The 20,246-nt window shown below is 38.4% G+C and overlaps 1 protein-coding gene across 16 annotated transcripts in view; it reads right to left on the bottom strand.

Moving 5' to 3' along the window:
• LYPLAL1 (lysophospholipase like 1) overlaps positions 1-20,246 on the bottom strand; it is a 271,619-nt gene that overhangs the window by 152,879 nt on the left and 98,494 nt on the right. The gene's annotated exons all lie outside the window — the stretch shown is intronic.

Genomic DNA, 20,246 nt, shown 5'->3' with positions numbered 1-20,246 from the left:
TGAGGTGTAAAAGGCAGCTGTGCTGGGGAAATGAGGGCAGCAAGGTTTCAGTCCTAGTTTTAGGTTTGGGACTCTGACAGAAGAAGCATGTCCTGCAGACTGGTAGGGCACCAGCAGAAGGTGGCATCAGTGCCAAAAAGGTTGCTCTGACAGGCAGAGAGAGCACTTGAGCTTAGATCTTCCTAACTAAGTTGGGCTCCCAGGTAGCATGGGCAGGACTCAGCAATTCCTATTTGTTCCAAATGGAGGATGTAATATTACTGAGAATCTAGGATTACAAGAGGGGAGTCCAGTGGTTGGTGTGAAAGTGCCTTGTGGTTGTGAACTTCAGGGCATACTATCTGGCTGGGAACCAAATTCGAGTCCCATTGAGATCTCAGGGCTTTCACATTCCCAGGAGAGGTGAAGGGGGTCAGCAGGGAGGACCACCTGTCCCGTCAGCTGAGATTTGAGGATCAGAAGGCAGCAACACAAGGTGGTGTCGGGAGAGACAAGACATTGCTGCAGTACAAGAGGAGCAAAAGACGGGTGAGGAGCCCACGTGTTCATTTCTATTGTGTGGGCCCCCACTGCACACCCAGGTGCCTGCTTTTGAAGAGCAGGAGACTAAGAAATATATTCATAAGTGCCTGGGATATGTAGATTATTTCAATTATTGCATTAAACTGTAATCAATCCTGAAAAAAGTAAGCAAGCTAAGTTTTTCTTTTCTTTCTTTCTTTTTTTTTTTTTGCTTTATTCCGCTTTATCCTGCTTCCAATGAATGGTGGCGTTTGATGACAATGGGAGCATTTTGTAACATAATAAAGAAGCTACATTTTTTTTTGCACATATGAATGGAGCATGAAGGCATTTGTAACCCTGTGACAGGTGATTTTAATTACTAATCTAGGTGCATAGAAGAAAAAGACTTGGCCTAACTTGGCACCTAAATAGAGAGCTAAGAGGTTGGGGGAGAAATCTTATCTTTGAGTGGAAGTAAAATAAATCGGGGACATATGACTGTAATCATCACCATCTCCAGTCCCTCCAAGAGTCAGGAGACCTGGTGAAACCTGAATATTAGGGAAGAGGTGGCTTAACACCCCTGAAACATAGTAAGCATTATTATTAGAGAGGAATCATTAGTGAAGTCAGCTGACATGTGTTCCCAACAGAACAAAGGACAGTAGATTGTAGAGAAGATTCAAAGCTGGCACTTATTTCAAATATTTGTATGCTTTTTACTTCTTGTACTTCCAAACCATCCAAAACAGCAAACAAAAATAAATAAAAGAGTATTTTCTTCCACATTTAATAGAAGCTAAAAGACTGAACTAAAACACAAACTGACTATATCTGCATCAGAGATTCTTTGGTCTTGCATTATGTAACATATTGAGAATTTATAAATACGCAAATATTATTTGAGTATTTTCCTTTGTTGTTTGACATTTTTTTCTGTCAACAAACACCATTGTATGAAACATCATAATTAGAGTTATTTGATACTTGCTATATACCAAGTGTTATTTTAGGCACTTTATAGAAGCTTACTCAAGCGTTGGTTAACAATCCTTGAAGTGGGTGCTATTAATTCCCTATATTACAAACAAGAGAACTGACAGAATGATACTAAGTAACTTGATTGAGATTTTACAGCCAGTAATAGTAGATATAGGATTTGATCTCAGGTTTTCCATGACCATAAACTGTGCTTACCTCCTACACCAGGCTGGTCTGTGAATAGAGTATATTCAACAAAACTTTGTGAATACCTGCCATGTGTAATGTGCATGTACAGAATATAAAGATAGTGCATTTGGGTATGGTCACAAGTTATGTTAGGGGTCCCAATCCAGACTGCAAGAGAGGGTTCTTGGATGTCGCTCAAGAAAGAATTTGGGGCGAGTCCACAGTGCAAAATGAAAGCGAGTTTATTAAGAAAGTAAAGTGGTGAAAGAATAGCTATTCCGCAGACAGAGAAGGGCATTCCCGAAAGTAAGAGGAGGAATGCTCCCACTCTAGGTACAATACTTGTTTATATATAGGATAACAACAACAACAACATATCATAGGGAGATGTGCTCTGCTATAAGGGTTTGTGATAAAGGGTTACTTTTCTTAATCACTGTATTTTGTAAAAATCAATATTATTATTTTTAAAGCAAAATTAGAAATGCTTCTCAAGATGTTGGAAGTCTGGGTCTGTTTAGTAAATGTTATCAATCTGTTCTTTTAAACCTAAACATGTAGAGGGGCTAGGAATAACTAACGTCCTGGGAATGCAGCCCAGAAAGTCTCAGCCTCATTTTTCCTAGCCCTCACTCAAGATGGAGTTCCTCTGGTTCGAATGCCTCTAACAGTGAGATGGAAGACATGGAAGCACACTAGCAGGAGAAACCAACTATGCCTAAGAATGACACAGCACAATAGAGCCACAATCATGTCCATTTATTTACTTATTTATTTGCAGCATGAAACCAAGACATCACACCTGAGCATTCTGATGGGTCTTAGCAAGAGCACCTAGGTGACCTGTTGTTTCTCCAAGGCTGACATTTCTCAGTCTCCTGGCATTAGAAAGGCAGAGCCAAACCTCCAGGATTTTGCTGCTTACCTGCAGCTCTCACTGAGCCCCAGGTTATCTGGATTTAGAGGATTGTGGATCAGTAGGATTGGCCATTAGACACTAATTCTCATTCAATTAAGGAAGGGATAACTAATGTGTTTCTCTGATGAAAAAGGTAGGGTGGCCAAGGGGCATTAATATCAGAGAGATCTGCTTGGATTTAAACCCAAATTTGGTCACTTAATTATGTCATCTTTGAAATATTTATTTAACTTTTCTGAACTGTGGTTTCTTAATTTATAAAATGAGGATGGCGCGAGCAATTGTGGGCATTAACTAAAACAATACGCTTGAAAGTGTTTGACAATACCAGCAGCTCATGAAAAAGAAAAACATCTAAAACAGAATGTGGGTGAAAAGACTGAGAGTAATTTTCTACTTGAAGCAGAGTCTTCACTGAAAACCATACTTCTTTCTGCATGCCCACACTCTACAGCCTATTGGCTTGTATTATAGATTTTTATGTGTGTGGTATATTATTTTCTCACAATAGCTCTCTTGCCGTGTTCTGTCTGCTATTAATCTGTAAGATCATTAGGCACAAGGATTGTGAATTCGATTTCTTTCATATTCTCTTCCCATAGTACCTAATAAAAACTCCCCACAGAGCCTCCATTCTGTGAGAAGAATATAAATATACAGCACTTCACAATTTACAAAATCATTTCACATGCATCCCCTCATTTGATCTCACTACAGCTCTCACGGGCTTCCTTGGTTCTCAGATCACGATGATTGGGAGGTGGACAGACTAAGTAATGATCAGGTTTCGGCATTAAGCATAGCATGTACTCTGATACTTATCAAATTTTTCTCTGCCGCCTCCTTTTTCTCTCTAACCTTGGGCCCTTAGAAATGTATCTCAGTTACACATCCTCGGGTCCTGTGCCTCCAAAGAAATTTCCAAAGGCAAAAAAAACAAAAAAAACAAAACAAGAGGTAACTTGTGCCAGCACATTTCTGCATGGCCTCCCTAGAAGGAAAGGAGCCTATGTTTATCATCCAGATGTATTAAGACGGTAACATTTCCTGACCAAATTCGAGCAAGACGATTTAAATGAGAGCGTGCCTAATGACATTTTATGACAAATGCAATATTTTAGAGGCATGAATTAATTTTAAAGCGTACTTCTACCACAATTCTCACAAGTTAAAGTACAATTTTAAAACATGTAAGACAAGTTTTTTAAGAGCAGTTTTAAGTTTATGGCAACATTGAGAAGAAGATACAGAGATTTCTTATATACTCTTGTCTCCACATATGGTCAGCCTTCCCCATTGTCAACATCTCCCACCAGAGTGGTGCATTTGTTACAGTCGATGAAACGACATTGGCACATCAATATCACCCAAAGTCCATAGTTTCCCTTAAGGTTCATGCTTAGTGTTGTATATCCTATGGGTTTAGGTAAATGTATAATAATATGTATTCATCAATATAGCATTATACAGAGTGTTTTCACTGCCCTGAAAATCTTCTGTGCTTCCGTGAAAATTTTCACTGCCCTGAAAATTTTCTGTAGATAAATTATCCCACGCCTCAAACCCTGGCAGTCACTGATCTTTTTCTTTTAACTGATTCCATAGTTTTACCTTTTCCAGAATGTCATATATTTGGAGTACATCATATGGCCTTTTCAGATTGGCTTCTTTCACTTAGTAAAATATGCACTTAAGTTTCCTTTGTGCTTTTCTATGGCCTGATAGCTCATTTCCTTTTAGCACTGACTTATATTGCATTGTCTGAACATACCACAGTTTCTTTAACCATTCACCTACTGAAGAACATCTTGGTTGCTTCTAAATTTTGGCAATTATAAATAAAGCTGCTATAAACTTTCCTGTGTAGGTTTCCATGTGGATACAAATTTTTAACTTCTTTGGGTAAATACCAAGGTGTGATCGCTGGATTTTATAGTGTATTAGCCCGTTCTCACACTGCTATAAAGAACTACCTGAGACTGGGTAATTTATGGAGAAAAGAGGTTTAACTGACTCACAGTTCCACAGACTGTACAAGAAGCATGGCTGGGAGGCCTCAGGAAACTTACAATCATGGCAGAAGGCAAAGGGGAAGCAAGCATGTCTTACCATGGTGGAGCAGGAGAGAGAAAGAGTGAAGGGGGAAGTGCTACACATTTTCAGACAACCAGATCTTGTGAGAACTCTATCACAAAAACAGCAATGGGGAAGTCCACCCACGTGATTCAAGCACCTCCCACCAGGCCCCTCCATCAAGTGAGGATGACAGTTCGACACGAGATTTGGGTGAGGACACAGAGCTAAACTATATCACATGGTAAGGAATATGTTTAGTTTGGTAAGAAACTTTCCAAATTTCTTCCAAAGTAGCTCCTCCATTTTGCCTTCCCAGTGACGAATGAGACTTCCTGTTGTTCCACATTCTCATCAGTGTTTGGTGCTCTGTTGGTGATCTGGATTTGGGCCATTCTCATAGATGTGTAGGCGTCTAATAGATGTGTAAGTGTCTAATAGGTGTGTAGGCTATTCTAATAGGTATCTCATTGTTGTTTCAATTTGCATATCCCTGAAGATACACACTGTGGAGCAACTTGTCATTTGCTTATTTGCCATCCATATATCTTTTTTGGTGAGGAAAATATGATTTTTCAAATCCTACCTGGGACCTAATTGCACTGGCATAAGGGTAGCTTGGGGTAGCAATGGAAATCATTCTTAAAGCATTTTCTGTAGACAGGTTATCTCTCTGTTAAATACATTGCTAAATTATTTACGTATTGGCGGGACTAAGAAGTCTGGGCAGCAAGTCCTTGTCATTCTTCCTCACCTCTTCCTGCATTCGGATAAAAAGAGGATTGTTTTGGTTTTAGAGGTATCAGATTGAGGCCAATATCATCTCTACAGAGATTCTGAGTTAAAAAACCCAAACCGATACCTCAAGGAGCAAAATGATGAACTAACCTAGCTGAGTAAATGCATGGTAGATGTGTTATTGTTACTCCATCCTGCCATTCAACTGGAAAGATGACAAAGTGTGTTTTTCTCTCATTGTGTGTCCTCCTTCCATACCATTCCCTAGCTTCAATTCCATGCAGATTTTTTCAAGGAAGAAGTAAAAATGTGAATGGAAAAAAGTGAAAGCAAACCATTACAGGAAACTGTCAAAAAGCAGAGATGATGGGCCATGAAAATCAAGATCATGAGTTGCAACTGTCACCATACAGAGGAGAACAGGCAAATCTTATGGAGCAAAAGCCAAAGGCTGTTTTTGTGGAGCTGAAGCTGGCTGTGCAGAAGAAGTCAAGTATGTTTTTCAGAATTTCTGATGGAGCTCTTGAGGAGATGAGTGTCATGTAACTTGTTCTGACCAGTGGGATGCAGCAGCAGTGACACTGTCCCACTCTCAGCCTGTGCCTAGGAGGCCTGGCAGCTTCTGTTTTCATTCAGGGAAGGAGACTCCTAATTTGCTAGAATGCATTTTACATAAGGATGCTGCAAAATTCAGAGAGAAAGCATTTTAAAGGAAAGCATCTTTATTTTTTTTCTTAGTGACCTTGACTGACCTCCCCTCTGCAAGCCAGGGATAGCTATTGCTATGAAATTGTGCTTGTTTTCATATCATACGAGCAAGGATGATAGATTGTTTGTTTTGAAATTTTAAACTGAGCTTGGTTCCAATCAGGACTGAAATTCATCAATATTGTGCTTGTTGTTTAATATTAAAATAGTAACTTGCCAATTAGTAAATAGCTCCTGCTTCTAGTCCCCAAATGATCTCATGGCCCTAGGAACCCCCTAGTTTGTCACTTTAAGGAAGCCACTAGCCAGCCTATTGCAACTGTCATGCACCATCCCCATATCTCTGCTCCCCAGTGGGAGAGTCTGCATCCCTGGAACTCTAGAGGGCCAGTACCTGGTGGCCATTTAGTCCCCAAGAGCTTCAGTTATCTGCTTGCCTGTGGGACCTGCAGCCCTCCAAATGCACTGCGGCTGGTTGTTTTGTATGTGTGTGTGTATATCTCTAGCTCTATTTCTATTTCTATCTCTATCTCTATCTCTGTCTCTAATTTCTATCTCTGAGTAATGTGTTTGTGTGTGTATACACAAATATATGTGAGAAGGGAAGGAGAAAAAGATGAAATTCACATATTACAATGTAAAATTGACCATTTTAAAGTGCACAATTCAGTGATATTTAGTACTTTCTCTCACTTGTGCAACCACCACCTCTATCTAGCTTCAAAACAATTTCATTGCCCCTAAAAGAAAACCTTATGCCAATTAGCATTCATCTTCCATTCCTACCTCCCCTCAGACCCTAAGGCAACGACTGATCTACTATGTTTCTCTGGATTTGCCTATTCTGGACGTTTCACATAAATGGAATCATACAATATGTGGCCTTTCATGTCTAGCATTTTTCGCTTAATATAGTGTTTTCAAGGTTCATCCATGTGGTAGCTATACGTCAGTACTCGATTCCTTTTTGTGACTGTATAATATTCCATTGCACAGATATAACACTTTATTCATTTGTTGATGGACAATTGGGCTGTTTCGACCTTTGGCTATTGTGAATATGTGTTAGATATTTTAAATGTTACCCTGTGCTAGTGTCCCTCTAGTGATATAAACACATGTGAAGCACCTCTCATTTATTTCCAGTGCAATTAGTGTTTTATGAGTGCTTTCAGTTAACATTGTATTATACAGCAGTCCATCTCCTTCACCAATGAAATTTTCATTAGTCAAAACAGTAAGTTTTTCAGCTAATCTTTACTTTAATTCTGATTTCGTTTGTATGTTTAAAGATGAAGATGAGAAAAGTGCTTTATCGATAAAGTTGATTTCTTTTCCTTAAGGAAAACCTACAACTGAAGACTTACTCATGACAAATATTTTTAAATAATTTTCCACTAATTTTGTGGTGAGTTCTTTAATCTGAATTTTCCACATAATAATTTTAGTCTTGCTTGCCTTCTTAACTGTGTAGACACTACCACTGTATAATTTTTAAGTGTTATTACCATTAATTTCATGTTAGTATTTTCAGTGGGCCATTTTTTTCTCTTGGTTGATCACTACCTGGGTTAAAATTCATATTCAAATGCATTAGTTTTCTTTATAGAGGATTCAATCCAATTTGCTTTCTGTTGTCATTGTCTCACCACCAGTGCAGTGGCACAGAGGAGAGTTGGGGAATGGAGGCAGGGAAAGGTTACGAGCTTGGCCTGGGAGCCAGCCCCAACTCTCCTGTGGACCATGGGAAGGTCTTTAACATCTCTTTGATATCAGTTTCTGCATCTTTAAAATAAAGACAGTAACAGTAGTCCCTACATCATAGAGTTGTTGTGAAATTAAATTAGTTAATACATAAAAAAGCACAGAGAACAGTGCTTGGCATATATGTAGCATATGTATAGTTGCTGCTACTTCTTATTCTTTCTTTTTTTAATTTACTATGAGAATCCATTTAATATTTTCTTGTGTATTTATTTTTTACTTTTTGTAGGTACATAGTAGGTGTATATATTATTGCGTTACATGAAATATTTTGATACAGGCATGTAATGTGTAATAATCACATCAGGACAAATGGGGTATCCATCACCTCAAGCATTTTTCCTTTGCATTACTTATTATTCATTCTTCTGAATACGATGAATGAGGCAGAGTGCTCCTCTGGGATTGTTTGATCTCTAATGATTCTGGTGATCAGGACTTTTGCTCATTAAGCCATGTGTATTAGTCTGTTTTCACACTGCTATAAAGATACTACCCAAGACTGGTAATTTATAGAGGAAAGAAGTTTTATTGACTCACAGTTCTGCATGGCTGGGGATGCCTCAGGAAACTTATAATCATGGCAGAAGAGGAAGCAAGGCATGTCTTACATGGCAGAAGGAGAGAGAGGAGAAAGAGCAGGGAGAACTGCCTTACAAAATCATCAGATCTCCTGAGAACTTACTCACTATCATGCACATAGCATGGAGGGAACCATCCCCATGATTCAATCACTTCCCTCCCTCCATACGTGGGAATTACAATTTGAGATGAGATTTGGGTGGGAACACAGAGCCAAACCATATCACCATAAGAACAATTTCATTCTGAGTCTCAAATGCCTGACTAGTGCCCAGGCATAGAACATCTACATTACCCACTGCTTCCTCCCTCTTCTGATATGAACAAGATCAAACTGATCTGTACAAGGCCTTGACTCAATGACTAAGTCTCTACCCACAGATCACAAATGCAGCAATACAATCTTTTTAGTTAAAAATGGCAGGAATGCTTACAGTGACCTAACACTTGAATGCTTCTATGGTTCCTAATAAATTTTTTTTTGCCTTTCCTCTGCCCAAAGGCTGTACAGGCAATTGTCAGTCACTATGATATCTCTTTTAAAAATGCTGTGCTTTAATTTTAAAATATTATATTATTAATTTTATTTTAGCCAGAGTGATGAGGGTAGAATTTAAATTTCAACTAGCACGAAACAGCTTATGAGGAAAAATAGATTTTTCCACTTTCCATCCCTTTCCACACCTGGGTCCTGCTCCCCAGAGGCAAATACGCTAAACTGCTCTGCTTCTCCTTTGTACTTAGCTCCACGTTTGTGAATCATATGCATGCACTGCTATTTCTTCATCGATAATTCTAGGCATGGATGATGAAGATTTGTTTCTTTGCCCCCATCCCAAACAGTACCTCTCAATAAAGTTACACCCGGATTTTCTTTTTACTATATTATAATCAAAGTTACATCATAAATGACATGGCAAAGAACATGCCCTGTTGTCACGTGCTTGAAAAGTCCTACTGGGTGCCGGATAAGAGCACCAAATATGGAGCTAGATTATAAGCCCAGATCCATTGTTTACTAGATGTGTGGCCCTGGAGAAATCACTCCAACACTCTGTGCTGCCTTGTAGTAATTATTTTCCAAACATTTCATCATGTCTGCCATAGGTCTATCAATAATCCATTCACTCAAACACATTCATTTCATCTCTTCAGCCCCCACTTCTCTCTTTCTTAGAGCCCCACCAAGAAAAGGATGGATAATTTCATCCTAGAATGATAACTTTCATTCCTTTATGGTGGATAATTCTCTAGACCTACTACACACTCTGCTGTAATCATGAACCTTCCCTTCATCTCTCATAAGATAGACAACAATTTTTGCATTTTCTTTGTTGGTTTACTATGTTGTTTTCTAAAGCACTTATATTTCTGACATGACAAAATTATTTTAAATAAAAAATGCATTACCCTTATATTTGATTTTTTTTGGAAAAAAAATAGAATTCTCAGTTGAAAATCACTGTCACTCAGAATTTTTCACGCTTTGTTCCACTGTCTTCTAAGATTCAGTTGCTGTTAAGAAATTCAAGACCATTGTTTTGTATTTGACTGTGTTATCCCCCTCCCCTTTGGAAGCTTCTAGGATCTTTTCTTGATTTCAAGTATTCTATATTTTACCATAACCTACCTGGAATTTTTTTTTTTTTTTGTCATTCATTGTGCTAGGTGCTCCATTGTCCTTTCAATGGGAAGACACATGTCTTTCAGTCTGAAAATGTCTTAAATTACTTATTCAATAATATCCCCCCTTCATTTTCTCTCTTTTCTTTCTGGAACTCCTAATTAGTAGCTGGAGAGCTCACAAGATCTATGATATATTTTTTCTTATCTTTTTCCCTCCCATTTCTCTCTTCTTTAATTTTTGTTCTACTTTTGAGAGTTGCTTGGCCCTATCTTACAATTTTCTATTTAATGCTTGTATTTTACTTTTTATATTTTTTATAGACAGGAGTTCCTATTTGCTTCTGATCCTTTCTCATGGTAACTGTTATCTATATTACAGACTTGTTTCCCTGTGTATCTTTGAGGACATTATGATTTTCGAAAAGTTTCTTTCAATGTCTGCACTGACTCTGATTCATCTAAGTCCTCTGTGTCTAGTTGTTTGTTTGTTTTATGGGGTTTGGTCTCCATGCTCATGTTGCACATTTTCCTCTAATGTCTGGTCATTCTTCTCTGTCCAAGTGCATGTAAGAGAGAGTGGCTAAAATACTGCTGGAACTACTGTACCTATGAGCAGAGGTGCTGATTCTCAGGGATCACTGCAGGGTCTGTGGGGATGACGTCCCCTTTCCATTGAGGATCTCAAATACTTATCTAGAGACATTTTTCAGTGGCCGTTCAGAAAAAAAGAAAAAATCTAATTTCTGTCAGTTATGGAGCATGACGGTGGGTGTGGAGGGACCAGCATAAGTTTGACAATTGGCATCCTGGGAGCAGGTGAGAGGGTATGATTGAGGCGAGACACTTTTCATTCTTCCTAGACTTCTCCCCTGTTTGGTTTTTGGAGAGAAAGAGCCTTCTCCAGTCTCACCTGCTGTGTGTGTGTGTGTGTTGGGGAGGGTGGTTCTATAGTAGTTGCTTGGCTGCATGCAGTGGAGGGAGAAACTTGGTTCCAAACCTTCTCCTGAACTCCACTTTCTTCTGAAACCAAGTCCTCCAATTCTGAGCCTTTCTGGGTTTTACAGGGTGAATTAACTCACTTATTGTTTCCTTGATAGTAAGTGCTTAGATTTACCTTATTTAGATTTTTACCTATTTTCATTTACTGTTTTCCAATTTTCAAATATATCTTTAAATCTTTTATGTACTATTGTCTTTTTCTTTATAGATTAATTATTACCTTTCTCTCTTTATTTTTATTTTTTTAAGTTACTGGCACAGGGTAGACAGGGAAGATATTAATTGCATGTGTTTACATGCCAGTTTAACTAATTTCATGCCAAAGGAAAAGATACTTTCTACATAGTGTTCTATGAATCAAACTGCCAAGCCCATCCTAATCAGGGGAACATAATGGAATGTCATCTCAATCACCCTGAGTACTTCTTTAAAACTAATTAATGAAGTCTCATTCCTTTATTATCTGTCTACTTATTTATTTATTTTTTGAGACAGTCTCACCTTGTCACCCAGGCTGGAATGCAGTGGTGCGATCTCAGCCCACTGCAACCTCTGCCTCCTGGGTTCAAGTGATTCTCCTTCCTCAGCCTCCTGAGGAGCTGGCATTACAGGCGCCCGCCGCCACACTTGGCTAATTTTTGTATTTTTAATAGAGATGGGGTTGTGCTGTGTTGGCCATGGCTGGTCTTGAACCCCTGACCTCGGGTATTTTGCCTGTCTAGGCCTCCCAAAGTGTTGGAATTACAGGCATGAGCCACCATGCTTGGCCTACTATGCCTTTTTAAAATGTTAAGAGTCCTTTTGCAGAGGGTCCTAAAAAGAGCTGATGGATGTTTTCTCAAACTGGCAAAAAAAATCAATGCATATGAGAGTAGATTGTGTTCAGTTATTATTTGTGATTTGATGCTTATGGAAATCAACTTGTACCCTTTTTCCTAGACTAAACATATATGTTGTTCAGAATGCATAATTATTAATAAGCAAATTGTTAATGTGATTCCAATAAATGTGAAAAAATTAGACATTATCCCTTCATCTCCCCTCTCCCACCTGTATATATCTCAAAAAATAGGTAAAAATATAGCGTGATGGGGGGAATAAATTGGAGATTCAAATCCTGGAAAAGCAGATATCCAGTTGTCTAAATGAGGTGTCATAAAGATATTAGGAATAATAGTGTTATAATAATAGCTTCTATTCCAACTCAAGTATTTTGTTAAGTTTTAAAAATACCTTCTTTAGGCATCAAAAAACTTTATATAATACGTATTATCTGCTTGTTTACAAGTGGACATGAGGCTTAGAAAAGTTATGAGGTTCAGTGAAGCTCCAGAAGGGTTTTGGACTGCAGTCAGCATGGCTCTAAAGCCTGCATACTTCATATTGCAGTAGAAAGCGATGAAAATGGCATTCACCTATAAACTTCTAAAAAATTTTCAGAGACTTCCCTTGAGAATTGTCTGCCTATGTAATATTCATTCTATTCTGCCACCTCATCTGGGTGAAACAAGTTGAAACGTTTGTTATATATGTAATCAGATTTTCAATAATCTTGAGCTCTCTTAAAGATATCAGCCTATTTGTAATTTCTTCTACCCCATTTTTTTTTCTCCTTTTCTGATGTGGCTTTTAGAAACACCTATGGATATTTTGGAGTCTTTTCCTTTATTGAAAATTAAAATATGACTGGCTAAAATATGACTCAGAGAGTTTTCATTTGAAGGACGTGTAAATCTCACTGTGAAAAATCCTTTTGACTTTGGTTTTCTCTGCATAGTTGAAAATACTGTTGTGATAGGATGGCCATGCTACAATTAAACAAACATCCTATAAAAAATTCAACTTGTCAAAACTGGCTTGTTAAATAAGCTTGGAACCATTATCTGAACAACAAACTAGATCTGAACTTGGATAGCAGACTTCAGTTTTATGGGTCTTCCAATGATCTCATTGTTATAATAAATGAGTACATCAGGTTTCCTTATCCATCAGGAAAATCCTACACTCTGTGTTTCAGATGACTCAGAAAACACACAAATGTCTTTCATGCTGAAAGATAAGCAGGTTCTGGATTGTTTTCATCCAATGTCCTTACAGCTTCACGTCAAAGCAACATTATTCTGAAGTAAGCTCCTGACTGGGGGAAATTGCCACACCTCAGTTCATCTGGGCATTGGATCCATTACCTGATGGCGTGCCCCATTTCTTTCTTTTTTCAGAAATATGCTAAATGTACTGGCATGGAGTCATATAGGAGCATTGGTACCTACTATGCCATTCTCTCCTTGTCACAAATCCCCTGCCCACCCACATTCCTCTTCCCACATAGTCAGAATATTGCCTGGATGCAAGAACATTAACCCAACAAGTGTTATCTCTTAGCTGTTGGCGGAGGAGGCAAAAACGCACGAGCCCTTCATGCTTTTTTCCAGACTGCATTGGGAAAAGACAGTCACACGGGAGCATTCTTGATGCTGGATTCCTGGAAGGAATCCCCCTACAAGGCTGTACCTCTTTTTCATGCCCGAGGCCAGGAATTCTCAACCTTGAGGTGATTTTCCATCCCCCTACCCCTACTGCCATGGATATTTGGTAATGTCTGGAGACATTTTTGATAATCACAATTGAGGGGCACTATCAGCATCTAGAGGGTAGAGGACAGGGATGCTGCTAAACATCCTACAAGGCACAGGACAGCTCCCACAACAAGGAATTATCAAGGTCCAAATGTCAGCACTGGAGAGGCCATAAAACCCAGTCCTAGGCCAAAAGGCAAGTAGACAAGATGGCAGGGTGTCCGCCCTTCTTTCCCAATCCATGAAACGTTTTGTTGTTGTTGTTGTTGTTGTTGTTGTTTAGTGATTTTTATGTGACAAAAGTTTTGCTCAATATTGAGAAAGATAAGAAAGAATTTCACTGACTTTAGAGAGGGAATAAAGTACAGTGGGTAAGAGTACTGACTCAAGAGCCAGACTTTCCTCAATTCAAACCCCAGCCCCATCACTTATGAGCTGTGTGTACTTGGGCAAGTTCCATATCCTTTTTGGATATTTTCTCATCTGTAAAATATTCCCAGACAACCGGACATACATTGTAATCTTGTGATGATTAAATGAATTCTTACATATAAAGGCTTTAAATAGACCTGCTACATAGTAAAGGCTAAATTGTTAAATTGTTTTTTTCTCTCTCTCCCTTTCTCTTTCTCTCTCTGTGTACCACTTAAGATGCCTGGGACACATTATGAGTCCTCAGACAAAAAGAGGCTTGATTCTCTACAAAGGGGAGCAAGAGACATAGCAGCAATGTGGTTTATGGAAAAGAGTCCAGGGGTAGGTTATGTTCTAGTGTTCTAGTTTGCTTTTGTTAAGATCCTTGGCAAAATGGCTTACACAACAATCTGGGCCTCAATTTTCTTATGTGAAAAATGAGGATGTTGGCACTGGCCACATCATAAGGTTGCTGGGAAGATAAAATGAGATAATAAATGTAAAAACAATTTTTGAAATTGTGATCGGTTTGAACTTTTTGTAGAATATTTAAAGTTGTACGTTTGCCATCTTTCTGTATTCCCTCACATCTCCTCCAATACTTAAACAACAACAACAATAAAACTTCTTCTCCTTGGAAACAGTGGATCTGGAAAAGCTTAACTTATTTGAAGTCCCCAGATTTGTTTTTGGACAAAAGCCAGTGAATTGAATTAATTTTCAAAGCTTTGCTCTGATATTTAAAAAAAAAATCACAATGACAATTTCCTGGTTTTAGGAGATGAGAGGAGCTTAGGAAAAATATGTCAATTATTTAAGCCAATTTGTTAAAATGCCTTCAGATGAGCAGATATCTGAACATGGGTCATTTAGTGGTTGAGGGCTAAAGTGAATAAGACAAAGAAGATAGTGTGTGAGGCCATCAGATTCTTGTTGTTTTCCAGCTTCTGATCCTAAAATGTGGTGCTTTCCCTTATCTCCTAGTTCTGCTTGGAACTGCTGATCCTAGTATACACTCTACTTTCCACTTCAGTTCCTCTTTGTGTCATCTGTATGGAACAAGGCCCATGTTTAGATAAGTGAAATGAGTTCTAAACCCACAGTGTCTCTCTCCCTTTCTCTCTCCCTTTCTAGGCACAGGCTGTTCTATGCTCTGTCATCAAGGAAACACTTCAGCTACACCCCATTTACAACACCAAAATTGCTGATCATAATCAATGAATATTTTCAGGTCTGGGTGAAAGGTGCTGCCAAAATGCATCATAAAGGACACATCATTAAGCTCTCAATAGAAATACCACAGAAAGGGAGCATGACCCCTTGTAAAATTAATTGCTCCAATTGGGGATTACAGAAGATTAGGTGGAAGTAAATTCTACGCTGTGATTGTGGTGGTCACTGTACTGCCAGGATAAAAAGAGCCCTCATCTCTAAGGACCAGCGCCCTTCTAGATATTAGATTTGTTTTTGCCAGACCTCTGATATCTACTGCTAAAATTCTGCAGTTTGCCTCTTTGGTTATCATTGTTCATTTTTCCTTGTGAACTAGATAGGGAAAAATATGGAAGTCATTGGGGTAATTTCACAAGTCCATGGTGCAACTTAGTCTTGATGTGATAAAAGCCATTCACCACCAATCCTACCATCGGGACAATAACTGGGGTGAAACATCTCAATTTCTATACCCGAGCTCTTGTAATTCTTCATAAAGAAGGTTGCGGTGTCCCATATGTGTCCTTTGGGGGAATTTCCTCCGTACTTCTCCTTTTCCATACTTCTTTTGCAAACTGATCTGTCTAGGCATCATGTAAAAATGGGGCCAAACTGAATTTCCCATCCAGTATGCAACATGATCCCCACTCAAAGTAAAGTCAATCTTTATTTGTCGTATTCCCCAAAGGCCCAAAAGACTGTATCATTACATTTGCACAATTTACACATGGCCCACCCCCAGGGGCAAAAAGCTATGCCACATGATTTAATTCTACAGTGACTTCTCAGAGTTTCCATTAAGATATTGGAAGCGTTTTTGCTCAATTTACCCTCTGGCTGACTCAATTCTATGTCTTAGACAATGGATGCTTTTATAAAGAAACGTTCTTGGCTTATAAATCTTAATTTTTGAAAGAGTCCACTGTAAATGTAAAAATTGATTTCCTTTGCTGTTTTTTTTTTCCTTTAATTCCAAATAATGCCTTGTGTACCGCTGCTGCCTTGAGGAGCAGGAAAGCCATAATTTACCAGATGTGAAGCTATTAGGCCTTCATTTCCTGAAGCAATGAATTAGCAACTCTTTTACCCTGTCACAGAAAATTGTCACCAAAAGAGTCCAAGACACAATGGCAAGTCCAATTAATGTTTTTTTTTCTTCAAGTGGGACCAGCTGAAAGATGAAGTGACTTGAGTGAGAGGCAAATTGATTTGGAAATTACCTCGCTTCAAAGGCTGGCTGGGAAGCAGAGGGAGCTGCAGTAAACATTATTTTTATATTTGATATCATCACTGTTTCAATAATTACATTAGGATCACCCTTTTCTACTAGTCAAGGTAAAAGATCACAGATGATAGCTTTAATTTTGTTTGCTCCAATTCTCTGGAAGAAAACACTTAAATTTCACTTTTCAAGAGTAGTTAAAAGTAGCAGCATATAAAGCTCAAGTGTGCAAGACCTGTTTTAGTTAGAGTAGTGTCTTAGGAGCAAAGAATGAAGCTAGGGTGTAGAATCTTGAGCCTTAAGATGAGTTTAATATTTTAAATATTGTTTTTAGCATATATTAAATTTTACAATATATTTACATATTATATTTAACTCTATATTAAAGTTTTAATACTTAAAGCACTAATAATAATTTGAGATGAAATATATAATTTTATTTGCCTATAGATCACCTTAATAGTACATTCTTGTTCTACTCTATGGAAATATTTTTAATATTTGTGATAGACTTATAATTTGCTTTTAGAAGAAAATGTTCTCTGAAATTGATTTTGCTGTTAAATATGTTCATTTGATAATGGCAAATCAACTTAAAATTTGATGAGAAGAATATAGATTAGAGTTAATATAATACAGTCTATTGTTTCTGAATATATAGAAAATTATGAATGTCTTTCCCTTGTTTGTGCATTTAGTTAATCATCATGTCTACACCATACAAGATTAAATTGGCTGTACAGGTATACATTGCTCTCCAGGAACTTGGGAACCAGTGGGAAGACTAAAGGATGTGCCCGAAGACTGATAATTATTAGGCGGTACACAAGGAAATCAGAGCCCATGTAGTTGTTACAGACACTGGGGCCAAGGACATTTTAAATGAGGGAAAGCTTGCTGTGGGGTGAGATCAGTCAGAAGAGACTTGCATTTCTTTTCCCAATAAATTTTCCTAAATACAGAAGACAAAATTGGATGGAGGCTGGGGAGGAGTTTGGGTCCCAACTGTAGGCAGGGAAGAGAGAGGAGAATAGAATATGTTGAAAACCATATTTGAGAAAAATCAGTATTTTCGTTTAGGTTTATGTCAAGATTTTCATCAGACTGAAGGGACAATAGGAACGACTTAGGAAAAATAACTCGTATTGATTGGGTGATACTAAAGAAAGAAGAGTTACCTTTGAAGAATAGTATATAAAACTTATAATAATAATTAGTAGTAAAATCACTTCTCAAAGCCTCCTATAAGAGGAGGGCATGTAAACTTTTAACAAGTAATTATAGATGATCTCATGTGATAATGTCAGGAAAATCCATTCCTTTGACTGCTTTCAGAGACTGAATCCTTAAAACTCAGCATAGAAAATAGAACCTACTTCCTGAAATATGCTGATCAATACCACTTCAATTCTAAAAAATACAAAACTGGCCGGGGGCGGTGGCTCATGCCTGTAATCAAAGCACTTTAGGAGGACAAGGCGTGTGGATCACGAGGTCAGGAGTTCGAGACCAGGTTGGCCAACATGGTGAAACCCTATCTCTACTAAAAATACAAAAGTTAGTTGGGCATGGTGGCAGGCACCTGTAATCCCAGCTACTCAGGAGGCTGAGGCAGGAGAATCGCTTGAATATGGGAGGCAGGAGTTGCTGTGAGCTGATATTGTACCACTGCACTCCAGTGTGGGAGACAGAGCAAGACTCCATCTCAAAACAAACAAGCAAAACAAACTCTTTCATGCTTCAAGTTTTCTTCAGTTAAAAGATAGAGGGAAGTCTTCTATTTTATCATTTCTGGGTGTCCTTTTGCACGCCTTCTAACCCCTGATGAACTAGTTGGGCTGTTGGGCCCCTACATCAGTGTGATTTCCTTCTGTTCTACATTTGGGCATGCTGTTTTCAGTGCCGGAAACGATTGACTCCACTATCCCACTTCACTGCATTTTTGTTCAAACTTCTTTGCATTTTCAAGATGTGGCTAAAATTCTACACGCAAGTTTCTCTTCATTCCTTTACAGCTACGCCATCAGCAAAACTTTATAAAACACATACAGGGCCAGGCGTGGTGGTTCACGCCTGTGATCCCGGCACTTTGGGAGGCTGAGGCGGGTGGATCACAAGGTCAGGAGTTCGAGACAAGCCTGGCCAATGTGGTGAAATCCCATCTCTGCTAAACATATAAAAAATTAGCCGGATGTGATGGTGCACACCTGTAGTCCCAGCTACTTGGAGGATGAGGCAGAAGAATCGCTTGAACCTGGGAGGCGGAGGTTGCAGTGAGCCGAGATCTTGCCACTGCACTCCAGCCTGGGCAACAAGAGCGAAACTCCATCTCCAAAAAATAAAAAATAAATAAACACATACAAAGACCACTGTAGGAGTCACAGAAAGAGGACAAAATGTATGGTTTTGCTCAGAGAGAAACAATTCCTTTTGAGAAGAAAGATCATGCAAGAAAGGAACAGTACGTTGGAACAGAAGTTCAGCAGCATATCATGAGCCCAAAGTAAGGTATAAATATTGAAGGAATTAAGCTTGTTAGTTTAAAATTTAAAATGCCTCACCTCCTCCGTCATTAGCCATTTAATTCTATCACACCTGTAAATTGACTCTTCCTAACCTAAGCTGTCGTCATTAGGTGCCTAAGAAAAACACAAATAAATCAAAGTCAACATACTTTTATTTATTTATTCAGAGATTTAGGAAAAATTATATCACACTGAGGGTTCTGATTATGAATGAAGTTTATTGAGAAAGTCTTACATCAAAAAGTGTGTGTTAGCAATTCTGCATGACATCATCTGATAGATACAAGAAAGATTGTATGTTGATTCAAACTGCTATTTTATTGCAGTTGTGTCAAGTAAGTTAAGCCTCCTTTTAAGAACTTTAAAAATGTTTACCTTTTCCAGGCAATTACTTAACTTTGCAATTATCCAGAAAGTGAGCTCATGTGGAGAGCAAAATATAGTAAATAATCTTAACATATGGTATTAAATATAAAAATTTTTATCTGGTGCTTTTAAACAGATTTGATTTCTTTATGGATATTCTCTATATATTGAGTCATTGTCATATTCTCTGTTGGTTCTTTAATACAGTGGCTGTCTGCTAAATCTAATTTATAGGGCCTCTCAGAGTTTATTTCCATTGACTTCTTTTTTTCTCCCTTGAGTATGGTTCACACTTTTCTGCTTCTTAGCGTGTCTTATAATTTTTTATGGAAAACTGGATGTTTTTGATAATACAGCAATTCCGATTCTAATTTTCTTTTTTTTTTCTGCTGAGGGTTTCTATTACTGCTGCATTTTTTGTTTACTCCTCCTACTTTTTTTTTTAAGAGTCTTGCTCCGTTGCCCAGGCTGGAGTGAAATGAATGGTGCCATCTCGCCTCACCGCAACCTCTGCCTCCCGAGTTCCGAGTTTAAGCAATTTGCCTGCCTCAGCTTTCCAAGTAGCTGGGATTACAGATGAGCACTCAGTTAATTTTTTTTGTTTTGTTTTTAGTAAAGATGGGGTTTCACCATATTGGCCAGGCTGGTAATGAGCTCCTGACCTCACGTGATTGTCCCTCCTCAGCCTCCGAAAGTGTTGGGATTACAGGCGTGAGCCACCAGGCCCAGATCATTTCTCTTTTGTTAAATGAACTAACCTAGACTAAAGCAGCAGAACCTGTCATCCCTGTGGTGTATGGCTACTCTGACGTCTCAGCTCAGATTTTTGAAAAAAATTCTTACTTTCA

The sequence above is a fragment of the Homo sapiens genome, chromosome 1, assembly GCF_000001405.40.
Source record: "Homo sapiens chromosome 1, GRCh38.p14 Primary Assembly".
Taxonomy (NCBI): Eukaryota; Metazoa; Chordata; class Mammalia; order Primates; family Hominidae; genus Homo; species Homo sapiens.
This window is presented reverse-complemented; position numbering and strand designations above follow the sequence as displayed.